Source organism: Homo sapiens, chromosome X, assembly GCF_000001405.40.
Source record: "Homo sapiens chromosome X, GRCh38.p14 Primary Assembly".
Lineage (NCBI taxonomy): Eukaryota > Metazoa > Chordata > Mammalia > Primates > Hominidae > Homo > Homo sapiens.
The window spans coordinates 71087515-71107271 of NC_000023.11; the positions used below are offsets into that span (position 1 = coordinate 71087515).

Consider the following 19757-nt stretch of genomic DNA (forward strand, 5'->3'; position numbering starts at 1 on the left):
CTCCAGCCTGGGCAACAGAGCGAGACTCTGTCTCAACAAAAAAAAAGAGGCAAAATATAAAGCATTTCTCTCAGTTTAAAAGGTACACATGGTCATAGTAAATTGGAAAAATATAAGAAAGGAAAACAGATAACCACTGTTAACACTTTTTGGCATTTCTACCTATCTTTTCTCAATGTACCTTACTAAACAAAATTATGAACATATAGTATATAAAGTATCATATCCTGGTCTTTCCAGGTAACTTAAAATATAAGCATGTTGACCAGGCGTGGTGGCTCATGCCTGTAATCCCAGCACTTTGGGAGGCTGAGGCAGGTGGATCGCTTCAGGTTGGGAGTTTGAGACCAGCCTGGCCAACATGGCGAAAACCCATCTCTACCAAAAATACAAAAATTAGCCAGGTGTGGTGGTGCAAGCCTGTAATCCCAGCTATTCAGGAGGCTGAGGTACGAGAATCATTTGAACCTGTGAGGCACAGGTTGCAGTGAGCCAAGATCGTGCCACTACACTCCAGCCTGGTAACAGAATGAGACCTGTCTCAAAAAAAAAATATATATATATATAGAGAGAGAGACATAGACATATATATATATGGACATATATATATATATATATGGATATATATATATATATATGCATGTTTTTGTGTATTGAAAACTCTCTGGCAAATATCTCTGGAAAAAAAAATCTTTGGTAAATAACTCTGGTAAATATCATGCCAGTAGGACTGTTTTATTTTTTTTCAGGCTGAAGTGCAGTGATGTGATCTTGGCTCACTGCAACCTCCACCTCCCAGGTTCAAGCAATTCTCGTGTCTCAGCCACCCGCATAGCTGGGACTACAGGCATGCACGATCACGCCTGGCTAATGTTTTCTGTTTTTAGTAGAGACGGGGTTTCACCATGTTGGCCAGGCTGGTCTTGAACTCCTGGCCTCAAGTGATCCACCCACCTCGGCCTCCCGAAGTGTTAGGATTACAGGCATGAGGCATGAGCCACTGTACCCGGCTTTTTTTTTTTTTTTTTTTTTGAGACAAGGTTTTACTCTGTTGCCCAGGCTGGAGTGCAGTGGCACAAACATGGCTCACTGCAGCCTCAACCTCCTGGGCTCAAGCCATTCTGCCACCTCAGCCTCCGAAGTAGCTGGGACCACAGGTGCTCACCATCATGCCCAGCTAATTAAAAAGATTTTTTTTTTAGTAGAAATGGAGGTCTCACCATGTTGCCCAGGCTGAGGACTTTCAAAGGTTGGAACCATAGAGCTCTACAGGAAGAGTTAAAGAGGAAGCTCTAAGGTTCCTCGAAACCTGAGAGATTGACTGGACACGGTGGCTGAAGCCTATAAGCCCAGCACTTTGGGAGGCCAAGGCGGGCAGATCACGAGGTCAGGAGTTCAAGACCAGCCTGGTCAACATGATGAAACCCCGTCTCTACTAAAAATACAAAAATTAGTCGGGCGTGTTGGCACGTGCCTGTAATCCCAGCTACTCAGGAGGCTGAGGCAGGAGAATTGCTTGAACCCGGGAGGCGGAGGTTGCAGTGAGCTGAGATCCCACCACTGAATTTCAGCCTGGGCAACAGAGCGAGACTCCGTCTCAAAAACAAAAACAAACAAACAAATAAAAAACCTGAGGAATGAAGCATTGTGGATGTTATTTATGCAGGAGGCTAGGACCAAATTCATGTGGGTGTGAAGTGTAAGCTCAGGGCGACCTAAAATATAAAGGGCAACCTGGGGTCTCGAACCCAGATTGGAGATCACAGAAAATAGGATTTTAGAGCTAGAAGAGACTTTAGAGATCTTCTCATATATCACTCTCATTTTACAAATGAGTAAACCAAAGCCAGAAGAGTGAAACTGACTTGTTTAGGCTCTGGAGTCAGACTGCCTGCATTTGTGCCTCTACTCTACCACTTAGTAATTCTGGACCTTAAGCATGTCTCCTTATCCTAAGTCTCATTTTCCTCTGTGAAATGAAAACAGTACTACCATTGAGTTTATACATTTGTTGTGAGACTAAATGAGATAATCCACATAAAGCACTTAGCATGGTACCTAACACATAATAAAAACCCAATAAATGTTACTTATCAATATTAGTGTAATTAGTATCAATTTTTCAACTAGTTAGTGACAAAACTATGACAAGGACTCAGATCTCCTGACTCAATCTAGTGTTCTTTTCACTGCACCAGAGTTATGTCTATGGTCCAAAAAAGTGGTGCCAACTCAAGTCTATGTGGGGCTGGGCACGGTGGTGGCTCATGCCCATAATCCCAGCACTTTGGGAGGGGCCAAGGCTAGTGGATCACTTGAGGTCAGGGGTTCGAGACCAGCCTGGCCAACATGGTGAAACCCCATCTCTACTAAAAATACACAGAGTTTGCAGTGAGCCGAGATCGCGCCACTGCACTCCAGCTTGGTGACAGAGAGAGACTCCGCCTCAAAAAAAAAAAAATACAAAAATTAGCTGGGCGTGGCAGCGGGTGCCTGTAATCCCAGCTACTCAGAAGGCTGAGGCAGCAGAATTGCTTGAACCTGGGAGGTGGAGGTTGCAGCGAGCCAAGATCACACCATTGTACTCCAGCCTGAGCGACAGAGGAAGACTCCACCTCAAAAAAAAAAAAAAAAAAAAAAAAAAAAAAAGCTATTTGGGGCTAAAATCTGAGTACTTCACTCTAGGGTGCACTTTACGAGCAAGTACCAACCCTGATGTCTGGAAAATAGTAGACCCTTAAGAAATGTTCATTGGCCAGGTACGGTGGTTCACACCTGTAATCCCAGAACTGGGAGGCTGAGACGGACAGATCACTTGAGCTCAGGAGTTTGAGACTAGCATGGGCAAAATGGTGAAACCCCATCTCTATAAAATATACAAAAATTAGCCAGGAATGGTGGCACACATCTGCAGTCCCAGCTACTCAGGAGGCTGAGGCAGGAGAATCACTTGAACCCGGGAGGCAGAGGTTGCAGTGAGCCAAGATCGCACCAGTGCACTCCAGCCTGGACAACAGACTCTGTCTCAGAAAAAAAAAGTCATTAACTGAAAAGATATTTATTTATTTATTTAAGACAGGGTCTCATCCCAGGCTGGAGTGCAGTGGCACCATGATGGCTCACTGTAGCATCGATCTCCCAGGCTCAAGCAATTCTCCCATGTCAGCCTCCCGAGTAGCTGGGATTACAGGCATGAGCCACCATGCCCAGCTAATTTTTTATTTTTTGTAGTGATGGGGTCTCACTATGTTGCCTAGGTTGTGAAAAGATTTTTTAAAACAATAACAGACAGAGTTGGGAGGGTGGCTTCTAAAACAAGGACCAGGTTGGGCATGGTGGCTCACACCTGTAATCCCAGCACTTTTGGAGGCCAAGGTGGGTGGAGCTCAGTAGTTCCAGACCAGCCTGGGCAAAATGACAAAACCCTTTCTCTACCAAAAAATACAAAAAATTAGCCAGGCGTCGTGGTGCACACCTGTGTTCCCAGCCAGTTGGGAGGCTGAGATGGGAGGATCGATTGAACCTGGGAGGTGGAGGTTGCAGTGAGCCAAGATCGCGCCACTGCACTCCAGCCTGGCAATAGAGTGAGACCCTGTCTAAAAAAAAAAAAAAAAAAAAAAAAAAAGACAAGGACTAGAAATCTTTCACAGAAACACATAAGAAAAGACTTAGGGAAGAGAAAAAGCAAATATATGGACGTTCTATATACGTTTGTGAAGATCAGGGACGAATAGAGGTGGTACCTTCTGAGCGTCCTTGAATTTTTTTCATTGTTATTTGTGTTCATCTTTCCATGTGTTTATTAGCAAAAATCCTATAAAAACGCTACATGTGAATTGTGTGTTTCTTCAGAGCTGGGTAGAGTAAGAAGTGGGGAAATGTCAAACTCAATTCAAATTCATAGAGCCAGTTTGGCAAAAGACCTGTGGTAGGGGCGTGGCACCCAAGTAGAAGAGTGGGCGGTGGCAGTGAAAGTCAAGAGAGCCAAACCCCTATGACCTTGAAGAGGAAAAAAAACAAATTGTGAATGGGGGGACATTTGAGAAAATAAACTCTGGGGTTTCAAACTGGGAGAAAAGCCTGTGTCTTCTAAATCCTGCCATTATCTGTTTGTAGCTTACAGCTACGGTGGTTTCTGGGAGCCTCCTATTAATCTTGTTTCCTGCCCAATGTCTTTTTATTTTCCAAGACCATCTTGCTAATTCTGTCTCTTGACTAATGTTATTTTGCAACATTTTCACAGCTGAACAACCCTGACCTCTCTATCTGCATGCTTTAAAGTCATGATGGTGTTTTTACCATCCCACCAATCCTTTAGCTCGTCCTCCTAAATTATCTGGTCCTATGACGTGTGGTCATTTTTATCTGTCCAGGATTTCAAGGTGTACTCTCAACAGTAAAGGCTCCACAAACATCCGTTGATTGATAGTAGAGTTTATAATCTAGTTGGGGAGACAATATGCCCTCATGAAATGAAAAGCCATGTAAGCAGAAGCACAAAGTTAAAGAATACAAGCCGGGCGCAGTGGCTCACGCCTGTAATCCCAGCACTTTGGGAGGCCGAGGCGGGTGGATCACTGAGGTCAGGAGTTCAAGACCAGCCTGGCCAACATGGTGAAACTCCGTCTCTACTAAAAATACAAAAATCAGCCAGGTGTGGTGGCGCTCGCCTGTAATCCCAGCTACCAGGGAGGCTGAAGCAGGAGAATTGCTTGAACCCAAGAAGTGGAAGGTGCAGTGAGCCGATATCGCACCACTGCACTCCAGCCTGGGCGACAAAGCAAGACTCTGTCTCAAAAAAAAAATAAATAAAAAATAAAAATACAAACTGAGTTCATAGAGGTTCAGGAGATGCAAATTGGAGAAGTGGCCTGTCAGGTTGGACTAGTCAGGAAAAGTTTCCAAGGGCAGGTTAGTTTTGAGCTTTGAATTGTAAATTTAAGGAGGTGATGGACATGAGTTGGTGGAGAGGTGGACCTTTTCAAACAAATGCACAAAGAGAGACAATGCAAGATTTAACTCAGGCCAGGACAGGTGCCTGCCCCACCCTGCCATTTCCCTGTCTCAGTAACTCTGCATGATCTGCCATCATAGCTGTTTCAGTTAGAAGAGATCTCCTTGTGACCTAGTGCCACAAGGCTCTCTCCTCTACCAAATTCACCACTCATGCAGCACTTATCAGGCACCCTTAGCTGGGGTGAAGGAAAAAGGGGCATGTGCAGGGAATGTTTGCAGGCATCGTGAGCAACTATGTCTCATCTCTCTAGTCTGGACCTCAGATGGGAATATATGGCCTTTTGTATACACCTAGGTAACAGGTGGAGGACAAATGCATGTTGGAGCAGAAGAAGGCAGGAATATGGAGAACCAATATGGCTATTTTACCATGATCAGGCTAATATCACTTTGGAGGCCCAATGTGCTGCCACCGCTGAAAAATCCTGGGTTGCATGGATATCCTTCTGCACAGGAGGAAGGCCGCATCATCACAGAACACAATAGAAACACTGCAAGTGGCAGACAAGCCAAATTACAGTCCCTGCCCCTCAGAGGTTGCTGTCTAACAGTTGGAACAGGGCCAGGCAAAAAATGCATAGGACATGTTTATTTAAAAGTTGTTAAATGTCCAAATGCTATTTGTGATACTTCATTTAATAAATGATATTTGCCGAGCACTGTGGCTCACACCTGTAATCCCAACACTTTGGGAGGCCAAGGCGGGTGGATCACCAGAGGCCAGGAGTTCAAGACCAGCCTGACCAACATGGTGAAAACCCATCTCTACTAAAAATACAAATATTAGCTGGGAATGGTGGCAGGCACCTGTAATCCCAGCTACTCGGGAGGCTGAGGCAGGAGAATCGTCTGAACCTGGGAGGTGGAGGTTGCAGTGAGCCGAGATTGTGCCATTGCACTCCAGCCTGGGTGACAGAGCGAGACCCTGTCTAAAAAAAAAATAAATAAGAGCTCACAGTTTACTGGGAGAGACAGATAAGTAAACAAATAATTACAATACAATATAGTTTGTGCTATATAACATAAGACTGCACAAAGTGCTTAGGAATGCAGAAAAAAAAGGAGAACTAATCACACCTAAGGGAGACAGGGAAGGCTGAATAGGAGTTTTCCAAAATAAGAGACGTGGAGAGGAATGACAAGAGGGATGATATCCCAGGATGCAGAGAGAAAGGTATAAAAGGGCATGGTATTTCCAGGAAATAGTGTGAAACTCTGCTTGTAACTTAGTGTGCAGGAAAGGTGTGAAGTGGCCTGAATCTGAGGAGCCTGGCATGCCTTGCGAGGGAATTTGAACTTTATCACACAGGCAATGGGGAAAATCAGAGGAAGATTTAACCAGGGAAATTACATGATCAAAAAAACAAAATTTATAGCCAGGTGCGGTGGCTCATGCCTGTAATCCCAGCACTTTCAGAGGCCAAGGCAGGTGGATCACTTGAAGTCAGGAGTTCCAGACCAGCCTGAGCAACACGGTGAAACCCCGTCTCTACAGAAAATACAAAAATTAGCTGGGCGTGGTGGCACATGCCTGTAGTCCCAGCTACTCCCGAGGCTGAGATGGGAGGATTGCTTGAGTGCAGCAGGTCAAGGCTGCAGTGAGCCAAGATCACACCACTGCATTCCAGTCTGAGTGACAGAGCAAGACCCTGTCTCAAAAAAGAAGGAAAGAAGGAAGGAAGGAAGGAAGGAAGGAAGGAAGGAAGGAAGGAAGGAAGGAAGGAGAAAGAAAGAAAGAAAGAAAGAAAGAAAAAGAAAGAAAGAAAGAAAGAAAGAAAGAAAGAAAGAAAGAAGGAAGGAGAAAGAAAGAAGGAAGGAAGGAAGGAAAGAAAGAAAGAAGGAAGGAAAGAAAGAAAGAAATTATACGATCGCATGTAAGTTATATAATCCCAGTTCTGCCTCGTTGGGCAAGTCAATCTCTGAGCATTGTTAGTGTCTTCATCTATAAAATGCGGATAATAGTGGTACCTACCTCATGGGGTTGAATTGAGGAGTAAATGATTGAGGAGTAAATGAACTAATGTTCGTAAAGCAATTTGCACAGAGACTGGCACATAATAAGGGCTCCATAAATTTTAGCCATAATTACCAGACATGTTTCTTAGAACGGTAACCTTGCTGGCAGCTCTGAATATAAACTGTAGTGAGGTAAAGACTGATGGAAGGAGATCCAATTAAGATGATACTGCACCTTTTTTTTTTTTTGACAGGGTGTTATTCTGTCACCCAGGCTGGAGCACAGTGGCATGATCTTGGCTCACTGCAACCTCCACCTCTTGGGTTCAAGCGACTCTCCCACCTCAGCCTCCCAAGTAGCTGGGACTACAGGTGCGTGCCCCACACCAGGCTAATTTTTCTATTTTTAGCAGAGATGGGTTTCACCATGTTGGCCAGGCTGGTCTCAAACTCCTGACCTCAAGTGATCCGCCTGCCTCGACCTCCCAAAGTGCTGATATTACAGGCGTCAGCCACTGCACCCGGCTGATCCTACAATTTAAATGCAGTTATAAATAGGTCTTGAACTGGGATTTGGATGTAGAAAGTTACGGAGATGAAGAAGTAATGGGTAATTACCTCTAAGCTGCTGCTTGGAGCTTGGGAGACTGGGTAGATCAGGACTACCATAAGTCAAATTCAGAGATAAGGGTAGCCAGAGGATAGGGGTGCGGGTGCAGGAACAGATAATGAGTTTGGACCTGTTGAATGAGAAGTGAAGCCGTTGGAGATGTGAACCTGGAGAATATCGGTGTTGAAGGGAAAGCCAGAAGAGCCAGTGGAGGAAACTGATTGGTAAGTGAGACCTCACTGTCAGTGGGAACTGCATATGGGGGGATGAAGGCGGGTGGAGGGAGGAGGAAGGGGGTGAGGAGGAACACCACCGTGGGCTAACCATTTGTTTATGTTACACAAGCCCCCCACCCAACTCTCCAACGTGCATACATCCTATTTTCTAGTCAGTTCCTTGCTTCTTGCTTCTTGGTCTCCTGCATCTTTAAGAGAATAATTTTTTCCCTTTTGCCGTCTCCTAAATGAAGGAGGGAAAGGGCTAGCACCTCTCAATCTGGTCACCTACACGACTCTGAATCACAAGGGAGACAATGGAAAGGGGGAAAGGGCGAAAAACGATTCTTAAGAAAAGAAAGAGTCCGCGACGACTTCTAATAATTAAAGTTCCACCTCGTTATATCCTGCCACGCCGCTCTCCTGCCGCCGTATCGGGCTCCTGGCCGCGAAGCAGGACGGGAGATGTAGTCCTCAAGAGTGACCAGGGTGGCACGACTGCAGAACTCGGTTTCCCGACTGGCTTTCGAGGCGCGTGCGCAGATGGCTGCCCCGGCGAGTGGTAAACAGAGACGTCAGGAGGGGGCTGCTGCTTGGAGCAAAACAAAAGGGAAACCCGGGGGGCGGGGGGTGGGGGGGGTTGATAGGGGAATCGGTGCGGGAATAAGGGAGGCCGCAGCCGCGGGGACCCGGACCCTAGTAAGAGTGGCGAGAAGGGAAGAGGCGGGGGAAGGGGGAGTCAGGGGAGGGGCAAGTGACGCGGGGGAGCGGGGCGTGGGGGAGGGCAGCAATCCGGGTGGAGGAAATTTGGGAGGAGTGTCCGGGGGGCAGCAACTTAAAAGGGGGAGGGAACTGCGGCTAAGGAGACGTTCGGTGATGGGAGCGCAATATATGAGGGGATACAGTGCCTCAGGTTTAAAAGAGCAGGAAGCTGAGTGAGAGGTTGCAGAAAAAGTGTCTTCGCTCGGCAGAGGTTACAGGTGGCATCTCAGAAAGAGCTTTGAGGCTACAGGCTGTAGTCGGGAAGGGGATCGGAGAACTGTGTGAAGGGACAGCTTAGGGACTAGCGTCCTGGGACTAGGGGGAAGTTCGCGACTTTCTGAAGACTGGCAGGAATGTGCCTCCTGGCCCTCGATGCTTCCCCCCTGAGGGGAGGCATCGTGAGGGACTGTGGCAGGCTTCACTGAACGCTGAGCCGGGGAGGTCCAACTCCACGTATGGATCCGGGGAATGAGAATTCAGCCACAGAGGCTGCCGCGATCATAGACCTAGATCCCGACTTCGAACCCCAGAGCCGTCCCCGCTCCTGCACCTGGCCCCTTCCCCGACCAGAGATCGCTAACCAGCCGTCCGAGCCGCCCGAGGTGGAGCCAGATCTGGGGGAAAAGGTACACACGGAGGGGCGCTCAGAGCCGATCCTGTTGCCCTCTCGGCTCCCAGAGCCGGCCGGGGGCCCCCAGCCCGGAATCCTGGGGGCTGTAACAGGTCCTCGGAAGGGAGGCTCCCGCCGGAATGCCTGGGGAAATCAGTCATATGCAGAACTCATCAGCCAGGCCATTGAAAGCGCCCCGGAGAAGCGACTGACACTTGCCCAGATCTACGAGTGGATGGTCCGTACTGTACCCTACTTCAAGGACAAGGGTGACAGCAACAGCTCAGCAGGATGGAAGGTAATTATGACCCTCTTACCTTCTTCCCAACACCATCTACCCCCTGGACCCCCTAGCCTCCCTTACTTCTACTCTGGGGCCCCTTTTACTACCTCCCACCCCCACCCCCTTTGGGAAGCCCAGAGATCCACCTTCAATCTCCAGTTAGACAAACATTTACTTAGTACATAGTATATGCCACACTCGGTGCTTGATGCTGAAGGATCACAGATGAATAAGACACTGTCCCTGCCCTGGAGAAAATTGAATTCTCTGCTCACTGCTCAATATTCGCAGCACTTTGGCTTGGGCTGCCCCAAACACTTATTCCCACAGAGAAGTCTTTATCCTATGTACAGCAGGAACTGTGTGGATTCCCCACATGAACCTACCCTTCCCTCCTCCCCCACCTCCCACCCCAACACCTTTTCTCCCATTCCTGTGGGATTACTTGGATTCCCTGCTTGCCTCCCAGTACCTCAGTGTAGTGGTACTGTTCTAGCACTGCTCTACCCAGGAGGAGGGAGTGCAGTGGCAAAGGGTAAAAACAATAATATTCATGGGGAAAGGTAGCTGATCTCATGCACTAAGAAGAAAAAGGGCTGTGAGCTGCCACTTGGCTCAGCTTACCCTGTGCTGCCAAGAAACTCTCCCTTGTAAGGGGCTATCCAAGTTTTGGGGGGAAGTCATCCTTTACTGTTAAGGAATATTAGTCATGAAGAAGGAGGTAGGGCTCTGACTTTAGAGCACAAAGTTGGGAGTTCTCTTGGCCTTCTGTGAAGAAACTGTGAGAGAATATCTCAAAGGATACTCTGAAAAACTTGTCCTGAGAAAATATGGGGCTGTAATCACAAAATTGGGGAGCCTCAAGCCCTATTGCTGGCTTGTACCTCTCTAGGTGGTGAGGTCAGCATATAACCAAGTACAGAAGGTTGGATGAGCAGAGGAACTTCCCCTAGGTATAGGAGACTGAGGGATCAGATCTGTGCTATCCCTAGGGGCTGGGCAGAACAGAAGATAGGACAGCTGACTGAGACCCTTGGCACTATTTCTGGGTAGACTGCCACGCCACAGTCTCAGCTCATAAAAAGCTCCCCTCCTTGGACCCAGCCTACACAGCTGTTTTTCTTTTCCCTTAGGTTCATTTTCCAGGGTAGAGGAAATAACAAGTTGTTAGTTATATTGTGGGAGTATAGTCCGTCCTTATAATCTACACTTCTGTGGGGCTTTAGAGTTTACAAAGTAGTTTTTAAAGTTTTTATTTTATTAATCTTTACAGCAATTCTGAGATTCCACATTTTACACATTAGGAAACTAGGTACCAAAAGGTTAGGAAATTCACCTAATAACAGCAGGGTGAGGACTTGAACTCAGGTCTAACTATAAATCATATTCTCTAAAAAGAGCCTGGCTTGCTCTAATTGGAATGAGGGCAAAGTCAAATCAGGCTGAGCCTGGGACTTCAAGGCCCCCCCACCCCTCTCTGAGGGGAAGTCTCATGCCTGAACTGGCCTCCCTGATGATATGCCAAGGTTACTCCCACCCCACCAGGGGGCGGCACTCACTTAGAACAAGAAAGTTTAGATTAGGTGGCTTAGGGAGCAATTAGCAGTCACCCCCACCACCCTGCCCTCCAACATGTAAGAGTTATGGGCTTTTGGGAAACTGACCTCTCCAATTAAGAGTCTGTGTACCACTTGCTAGTTCCAAGGCCTAAAGAAGAGGAGACAAACGGGCCTTGTGGCTATTAAGTAGTAGGGAAAGGAATGGATCTTCTCAAGTAGATCCAGAATTAGAGGATAAAAAGAGGAGAAATCATAGTGCCAGGTCATGGTCATTGTGGTCCTTAGTTACTATGAGGTGAGGCCGGATGGACAAGTGCCACTCCTTGAAGGAACATCAGCACAGTTGAAATGCCATTACCTCAGGGTCCCAGGAACACAAGGAGTTCTTTGGCTAAAGAACCCTGGAACAAGAAGCATCATTCCCCAGGCAAAGGTGCTCCTTATCTTAAGAGCACCAGTCAGAGAAACAAGTAGTTTCTGACCGTCCCATGTACTCAGCCTCCTAGTTGCTCTAAGCACTTCTGGGCTCCTCCTGAATTTCTAAACTAAAGACCTCCAAGTGGGAGGTCAAATGCCCCCAAGGTTGAAGAGTTTATGCACAAATTCCTGAGAAATGGGGGAAAGGCACTGGGAAGGAGGTAGGGAAAAGAAGGCAGGTTTCGGGAAGGGGGGTGGCCAGGGGAGGGCCAAACCCCTTGTGTAACTAGCCTGCCCCGCGGCAATCAGTAAATATAAGCTGCACTGGGGGCTGAAGAAGCTGCCAATCTCAGCTCCCTGGGCCACTGGAAAGCATCGTTTCCCTAGTAGAATGTCACCAGTGAGGGAGGAAGGGAAAACATACAGCTTCCAATACCCAAGGCACTGAAGAGCTGGCAGAGCCTCAAGGGGAGCCTCACCATTGTCAACCCAGGGGCAACCCACCAATCAGGTACAAATATTGATTATGTACTGTGAGCTTGAGTAGGTATAGAATATGTGCTGTGAGCTTGGTGCTCTGGGAGGGCTTTGATGGGGGATGTGGGACTGGAGGACATTACACTTGGCACTTACACTCGATGAGACGAATTACATGAAACCATAAGCCACACAATATAAATTGGGTGAAATTGTGTGGCGCAGATTTTAAAAATACTATACTAGAAATTTGGCTGCCAAAGTCAAGCAGCCGCTTTATAAAAGAGGTGGAACTGAAGCTTGGTCTTGACGGAACTAGTAAAACTTAGAGAGGGGAGATCCCTCCTCGGAAAAGAGGGGAGGGGAAGATTGCACCTCACGCATTTGAGGCACAGCAGGAAGCCTGAACCTGAACTGAATGTAGTTGAGGATGTGTGTTGTGGATTGGAAGAAATAAGGCTGGGATTCAGGGAGGGGGGAAAAAGGAATCTTTAAATTCTATAGAGAGCTGGGTGGCCCAAATGCTCTGTGGGGAATGGAGCACCTGCTGTGCTGAGATTCCAGCCCTTCAGCCTATTCAGAGAACTGGCTCTGGGCAGGGCGGGTCCATCCTGGGCTGGTGCTGTACCACTGTCCCGTAAACTCTACCCAAACCTGCACTCAAGGAAAGGGGTGCAATGCTCTTTCCCACCTGAACCTAGTTCTTGCTGGGCAAGGAGCACGTCTCCCCAGTGCCCACCAGCCCCAGGTACCGCTCCCCCCACCCCCCGCAAAACACACACGAAGCCCTGGGAAGAGCAGAGTACCAGGAGCTTTTCCAGGGTGGGCATCCCCCGTGCTCTCTGCAGTGGATTATTACACGTTATCTCCCACCCGCTGTACAGAGAAGTCTGGAGCAGAGGCTGAGCAGCTTGTCTGGGAGCGGGAAATGTGTGTGGTCTCCCCTCACACCCCACCCCCACCCCTACTTCTACCAGTTTTCCCCCCTGGATTCAACTTTCTTTGAGTCTCCAGGAATACCCCTGCTGTGTTCCAGCACCCTTTTATCTTTTATCTTTTTCTCTTTTTTTGTAAATTATTTAAAGTTTTTCTTAAACTTTAATGACCTGGGAAATGAAGCCCCGAAATGAACCCTGCTGCGGTGGTGGCACCAAATCCTAAACCCTAGATCATCAGGGTCCAGCATCCTCTTAGACTTGACCGCTGGCCACTGACCTCCCCTACAGTACCTCACGCCCCTTTCCTGCCATCTCTGCCCCTCCAGAACTCGATCCGCCACAACCTGTCCCTGCACAGCAAGTTCATCAAGGTTCACAACGAGGCCACCGGCAAAAGCTCTTGGTGGATGCTGAACCCTGAGGGAGGCAAGAGCGGCAAAGCCCCCCGCCGCCGGGCCGCCTCCATGGATAGCAGCAGCAAGCTGCTCCGGGGCCGCAGTAAAGCCCCCAAGAAGAAACCATCTGTGCTGCCAGCTCCACCCGAAGGTGCCACTCCAACGAGCCCTGTCGGCCACTTTGCCAAGTGGTCAGGCAGCCCTTGCTCTCGAAACCGTGAAGAAGCCGATATGTGGACCACCTTCCGTCCACGAAGCAGTTCAAATGCCAGCAGTGTCAGCACCCGGCTGTCCCCCTTGAGGCCAGAGTCTGAGGTGCTGGCGGAGGAAATACCAGCTTCAGTCAGCAGTTATGCAGGGGGTGTCCCTCCCACCCTCAATGAAGGTCTAGAGCTGTTAGATGGGCTCAATCTCACCTCTTCCCATTCCCTGCTATCTCGGAGTGGTCTCTCTGGCTTCTCTTTGCAGCATCCTGGGGTTACCGGCCCCTTACACACCTACAGCAGCTCCCTTTTCAGCCCAGCAGAGGGGCCCCTGTCAGCAGGAGAAGGGTGCTTCTCCAGCTCCCAGGCTCTGGAGGCCCTGCTCACCTCTGATACGCCACCACCCCCTGCTGACGTCCTCATGACCCAGGTAGATCCCATTCTGTCCCAGGCTCCGACTCTTCTGTTGCTGGGGGGGCTTCCTTCCTCCAGTAAGCTGGCCACGGGCGTCGGCCTGTGTCCCAAGCCCCTAGAGGCTCCAGGCCCCAGCAGTCTGGTTCCCACCCTTTCTATGATAGCACCACCTCCAGTCATGGCAAGTGCCCCCATCCCCAAGGCTCTGGGGACTCCTGTGCTCACACCCCCTACTGAAGCTGCAAGCCAAGACAGAATGCCTCAGGATCTAGATCTTGATATGTATATGGAGAACCTGGAGTGTGACATGGATAACATCATCAGTGACCTCATGGATGAGGGCGAGGGACTGGACTTCAACTTTGAGCCAGGTACAGTACCCCCTAATCACCACAGCACCTCATAGCCTATTACCACTCCTAGGTGCCCAGCTAGTCCCATGATCTGGGCGAAGGGGAGATTTAGGACAAGTGGTAGCCAGAGCTCCTGGGGAACTGGAGGGAAGATGTCATATTACAGTAGCATAGTTTCCGGATGGGACCTCCAGGCCCCTTAGCTGTGCCCAGCCCTGCAAGGTAGCACAGAAAAGGTATGTGTATGGAAGCGGGTTAGGTGCCACCATCTTCTTTGGTGGGAATCTGGATGATAGAATGTTGGCAAGCCCCAGGTAAGCCTCTTACCTTGTTCTCTGTTTCTTCTTCCCACAGATCCCTGAGTCATGCCTGGAAGCTTTGTCCCCTGCTTCAGATGTGGAGCCAGGCGTGTTCATATCTACTCTTTACCCTTGAGCCCTCCCCAGGAATTTGGGACCCTGCTTTAGAGCTAGGGTGGGGTCTGGTCACACACAGGTGTTGAAGAAATTATAAAGATAAAGCTGCCCCATCTGGGGACGATATGGGGAGGGAGATGGGAGGGGAAAGGGGAGAGGGTTTTTCTCACTGTGCCAATTAGGGGGTAAGGCCCCCTCTCAGGAGCCATCATCGGCTTTCCCCATTCCTACCCACTTAGGCTTTGTAGCAAGATGAGCAATGCTGTTGGAAATGTGAAGTCACCAGTGGCCTTACCCCTGCCTTTGGGAGCAGGATTTTTTTGTAGAGAGTCTTATCTGAGCTGAGCCAGGCTAGCTGGAGCCTGGGATTTCTATGCAGTGGCCCCTTAGGCCAGTGATGTGCGGTGGGTGGGCTGTTTAGGGGATCTGGAAGGGCCAAGGTCTGAGCACTGGAGTGGCTCGCCAGGCCAAATCACCCTTAGAAGGCTGCAGATAACAGAAAGGCTTTTTATAAACTTTTAAAGAAATATAAACACAAATATAGAGATTTTTTAACCATGGCAGGGTGCTAGTGGTGGGCAGAATGCTTTTTTTTCTTTCTGAAGGCTTTGTGATAGTGACATGATACAAACACTACAGACAATAAATATTAGGAGACACAGGGAAGTGGGGAGAGGTGGGGAGTAATAGTAAACACAGGGAAGAGCTCCCCTACGGACCAGGTATAGAGAAAGGTCTATGCAGAAATAGGTTAGAGTTTCCCTAACAAAAAAGCTAACCCAGGTCCCCTCATTCCTTCAACTTGTGCCTGGGAGTGTGTGGTGTTAGGGTGCAGCCACACTCTTCTATGACCCAGCATGGGTTAGTGCTATGGTGGGAGAGTACATTGAAGGCCTGGAATTAGCTTGGGGCCAGGGAAGGGACTGGGAGGGGAGAGAAGAGAAGGAGGGAAGGATTTAGGATGGTAAAGTTAGGTACAGAGACCTCCCTGTTCAAGGCCCCTGACAGCTGTCCCTGCCCTTCTTCCCCTTCCCTGACTGCAGGGGTTATGTGGAAGTGTGTGTGGCAGCAGGCAGCGGGGAGGGGAGGAACAGGGAAGGGGGAGCTGGGGAGCTTGGCTGAGGGTCTGGGAAATGAGCAGGGATGGGGGGGGATGTGGATCAGGTTTACTAGCACCTGCCAGGGAGGCCATCTGGGGCTCCTTCTCCACCCCAGCCCCCAAAGCAGCCCTTCCCCCAGTGCCCTTTGCATCGTCCCCTCCCCCACCCCTGCTGTGGGTTCCCATCATTTCCTGTGTCAGCGCCTGGCCTACCCAGATTGTATCATGTGCTAGATTGGAGTGGGGAAGTGTGTCAAATCAATAAATGAATAAATTCAATAAATGCCTATAACCAGCTCTGGTTTCTGCTGCCTTGCTTCTCCCCTTGGATAAGGGGGAGGGAGGGGAAAAGGCAAAGGGCGGGAGGAAGAAACTGCCCAAAGGCAGAGACATGGAGGAGGGTGGGGGAATTTCACCCCGGGGAGGTGGTGGAGTGTGGGGGTGGAGGGACACCTAACCCCTGCAGGAGTAGGCGGGCTGTGAGATAGGCCTCCCAAGGGGAGGTAGTCTGGTTTGAGAAGACCCCACCCCCTACTCCGTTCCTCAAAGGCTCATTGTACTAGACTTCACAGCCTTCCTCACCCCCACCCATGTGCTTGCCCCAGCCCTCTCCTGCCGCTCCCATCCACCCTCAGAGCCTCCTAGGTGCCTGGGGCGTATGTACTCAAGCCTTAGTGCAGATATTGGGAGAAGGAGTCTTTCTAGAAAAAGAAATCTCACGTTAAATTCCAGTAATTTCACACCTAGTATTACTTCTTTTGCTTGGTGGTTTTATTGAGTTGGCGACCTTTATTCTTCCTGAAGTCTGGTCTGTTCCTAAAGGTCGGAGACTTGCGAGTGGACTTCTTTTTGTCTGATCGTCCTGATTGCTTGGACTAGAAAAAGAAAGTAAGTAAACAAAGAGGCCCCTGCAGGGAAGGTTTCTACAACCCAGGGCCAAAGGAAGGAAAAAAGAAATTGGAGGCAGGAAATTCATCTCAGAGGGCTGGGGTGTAGGAACATTCAGTCGGCTGGTAGGGAGAGGGGGGTGCTGGGGCAGATCACATTTGGCAAGTCTTACCGGGACACTCGCAGGGGGTTCAATTATAACGACCTTCTTGGCTTCTTTCATTTTAAGCATCTGAATTCGTCTCCTCTCCAGGGCATCACATTGTATGCGCAGTGCAACTAAGAACAAGGAAAAGGCACCTGCACCTCTGAGAACTAGAGACCTTACCCTTCCTGATGCTCCCATTCATTGTTCAAACCATCAGCTGGAGCCCCACTTGGCCTAAGATGGAAATGATGGAATGGTGACAGGGAGATATACGGAGAAGATGGCCAAGAAATGGGGGAAGTGGGGAGTAACGCATGCACATTCCACCTGGTGTGAGCTAAACGTCCCTCCTAAAGTGGACCTGGACCCTGCCCGCCTTTTCCTAGGCTCCTATCATCTGACCTACCATATCACGCTAGTCCCACCCTACATTCTCCATCACACAGCTATATACTGTACCCTTCATGTTCTTCCCTCCCCCATCTCACTTCTTACCAAGCAGCCAAGGCTCCGGATTCTTGAGGAGAGGCACAAAAGCTCTGTAAGCATTCTCCAGCCTGGTTCCTGTGAACATAGCCATGTGCTATCTCCAGCCCCTGTCATCCAGTCTCCACCCTTCAGAAGTCCAAGATTCCAGGACCTAACACTAAAGACTACCCGCCAGATGCGGTGGCTCACGCCTGTAATCCCAGCATTTTGGGAGGCCAAGGTGGGCGGATCACTTGAGGTCAGGAGTTCCAGACTAGCCTGGCCAATTCGAGACTAGCCTGGCCAATTTGGTGAAACCCCATCTCTACCAAAAATACAAACAAACAAAAAAAATTAGCTGGGCATGGTGGTGGGCGCCTGTAATCCCAGCTACTCCGGAGGCTGAGGCAGGAGAATCACTTGAACCCAGGAGGCAGAGGTTGCAGTGAGCCAAGATCATGCCACTGTTTCAGCCTGGGTGACAGAGCAAGACTCCATCACAAAAAATAAAATAAATAAATAAATAAAAATAAAGACTACCTTGCCGGGCACAGTGGCTCACGCCTGTAATCCCAGCACTTTGGGAGGCTGAGGTGGGTGGATCACCTGAGGTCAGGAGTTCAAGACCAGCTTGGCCAACATGGTGAAACCCCATCTGCACTAAAAAATTAGTTGGGCCTGGTGGCGGGTGCCTGTAGTCCCAGCTACTCAGGAGGCTAAGACAGGAGAATCGCTTGAACCTGGGAGGCAGAGGTTGCAGTGAGCTGAGATCGCGCCATTGCACTCCAGCCTGGACAACTGGACAACAAGAGCGAAACTCTGTCCCAAAAAAAAAAAAAAAAAAACCTACCTTGAGCTGGTGGATATTTCTTCCCCTTAGGTATGGACCTAGGGGAGAGTATGTGTGAGGTAACCTATTATTATAGAGGCAGTACCCTTCCTTAGGCTGACTAGAGATGGTCAATTTGGATCTGGTTGAGGGTGTTCTGTTGTTTGAGGGTGTTCTGTTTTTTGTTTTAATTTGGTTTTGGTTGTTTTTGGTTTTGGTTTTGGTTTTGGAGGCAGGCTCTTGTTATGTTGCCCAGGCTGGTCTCAAACTCCTGCCCTCTATCGATTCTCCCGCCTTGGCCTCTCAAAGTGCTGAGATTACAAGCATGAGCCACTATGCCCAGCCTTGGATGCCTTGTTTTAAAGATAAGGTTCATAATCTATCTTGAAGGCCTTATTCTATTTCTGGGGAACACTCCTGAGCCTCTACCTGGTGGCCCACGTTCCACCTTACAAACGTAGTAGGTGCTTCGAGCTGTAAGGTATTTGCTGGCATACTCTGCATGATTGGGCTTCATCAGGAAAAGCATCTTCATTTTCCCCGTTTGTTCACACAAATCGATGGTGTCTGGAGGGAGATCACAGGGTAATTGGGGCAGCTAAGGAAAGAGAGTGGGAGCAAAAGGGGCCAGTGATCCTATACAAAATGGGTTGGAGGAAGCTCTAAGGATATGAGGAACTCCCTTCTTGCCAGGAGGAGGGCTTGGGGGTTAGAGATGACCCAACTCCTTCTGACCTTTGGCCATTAGTCCCCTCCCTAAGCTCCTCACTTGTTTTAGGCAACTTTACTTTACTGCGGATGTAATACAGCAACACGACGACAGCACAGTTGGTATTGACCAGAAACTGCTGATTATCTGAGAAGAGATAGGATGGGACACATGGGCCCATTTCTGTGATCTCCACTGCCCTCAGATCCCTCCACCCCCATCCACAGACTCTAGTTCTGTGCTGCCCCTCACCTCCATGTTTGATGAAGATGAACATGCCCTCAAGATCGCCTCACTCTTCACAAAGTGCCCTGATGAGTCATGCAGAAGGAGGGTGTTCTAGAGGCCTTGTGTGGGGCAAATAGGCCTATAGGGTTGGTGGACTAGAGAGGCAGATGGATTTCATAGGCTGAGGATGCCCAGGCTGGACAGGCAGGAGAGAGCTGTTGATAGTTGTGGATAACCAGTATCCCCAGGGGTGGGGCCTGAGACTGCAGTTAAGGGATTATGAGGTCAGAAGTGGCAGGTGTGGCCAAAAAGTGGAGTAAGGGTAAGGAGAGAAAAACTTGGGTGGGGTATGTTAAAGATTAGTTGGAAAGGGGGGACAACATGGTAAGTCTAACTTTTTTTATTTTTTTTATTTTTTTAGATGGAGTCTCCCTCTGTCGCCCAGGCTGGAGTGCAGTGGCACAATCTTGGCTCACTGCATCCTCTACCTCCTGGGTTCAAGCGATTCTCCTGCCTCAGCCTCCCAAGTAGCTGGAATTACAGGAGCACACCATCACGCCTGGCTAATTTTTGTATTTTTAGTAGAGACGGGGTTTCACCATGTTGGCCAGGCTGGTCTCGATCTCCTGACCTCGTGATCCACCCGCTTTGGCCTCCCAAAGTGCTGGGATTACAGGCGTGAGCCACCACGCCCAGCCCATTGTAAGTCTAACTCTAAACTAAACCCTGGAATGAGTGCAGGGCACCTGGAAAAAAGTCAGTTT

General features: G+C 49.1%; 2 protein-coding genes across 5 annotated transcripts, besides 3 other annotated features; one reads left to right on the forward strand and one right to left on the reverse strand.

Annotated features, from left to right (window-relative positions):
* FOXO4 (forkhead box O4) lies at positions 8337–16018 on the forward strand. Of its 2 annotated transcripts, NM_001170931.2 has the most exons (4): positions 8337–9185; positions 9351–9467; positions 13170–14226; positions 14563–16018. In NM_001170931.2, the coding sequence occupies exons 1-4, from the start codon at positions 9015–9017 to the stop codon at positions 14568–14570; spliced, it is 1353 nt and encodes a 450-aa protein (NP_001164402.1). In that variant the 5' UTR covers positions 8337–9014; the 3' UTR covers positions 14571–16018. The 2 variants fall into 2 exon arrangements, with proteins under 2 accessions (NP_001164402.1, NP_005929.2); NM_005938.4 differs by having other exon boundaries at positions 8337–9467.
* Positions 10805–11099: an enhancer, noted in NCBI's record as "tiled region #4327; K562 Activating DNase matched - State 5:Enh". NCBI's record gives its function as "activates a minimal TATA promoter and a strong SV40 promoter by Sharpr-MPRA in K562 cells {active_cell/tissue: K562}" and the evidence as "EXISTENCE:reporter gene assay evidence [ECO:0000049][PMID:27701403]".
* Positions 12908–13518: an enhancer, noted in NCBI's record as "H3K4me1 hESC enhancer chrX:70320272-70320882 (GRCh37/hg19 assembly coordinates)". NCBI's record gives its function as "activates a minimal SCP1, AML or CMV promoter by ChIP-STARR-seq in primed H9 embryonic stem cells {active_cell/tissue: H9 hESC(primed)}" and the evidence as "EXISTENCE:reporter gene assay evidence [ECO:0000049][PMID:30033119]".
* Positions 13805–13854: an enhancer, noted in NCBI's record as "active region_29736". NCBI's record gives its function as "activates an Ori minimal core promoter by ATAC-STARR-seq in GM12878 lymphoblastoid cells {active_cell/tissue: GM12878}" and the evidence as "EXISTENCE:reporter gene assay evidence [ECO:0000049][PMID:35858748]".
* Positions 16375–19226, reverse strand: CXorf65 (chromosome X open reading frame 65). 3 transcript variants are annotated; one of them, NR_033212.2, is made up of 6 exons: positions 19018–19226; positions 18845–18912; positions 18486–18623; positions 17255–17323; positions 16784–16890; positions 16375–16598 (listed from the first exon to the last, which is right to left on the reverse strand). NR_033212.2 is itself a non-coding variant. In NM_001025265.3 (6 exons), exons 1-6 carry the CDS (start codon positions 19040–19042, stop codon positions 16473–16475), a joined length of 552 nt encoding a protein of 183 aa, NP_001020436.1. In that variant the 5' UTR covers positions 19043–19226; the 3' UTR covers positions 16375–16472. The 3 variants fall into 3 exon arrangements, 2 of the variants coding, with proteins under 2 accessions (NP_001020436.1, XP_005262301.1); NM_001025265.3 differs by having other exon boundaries at positions 18826–18912; XM_005262244.5 differs by lacking the exon at positions 17255–17323 and having other exon boundaries at positions 18826–18912.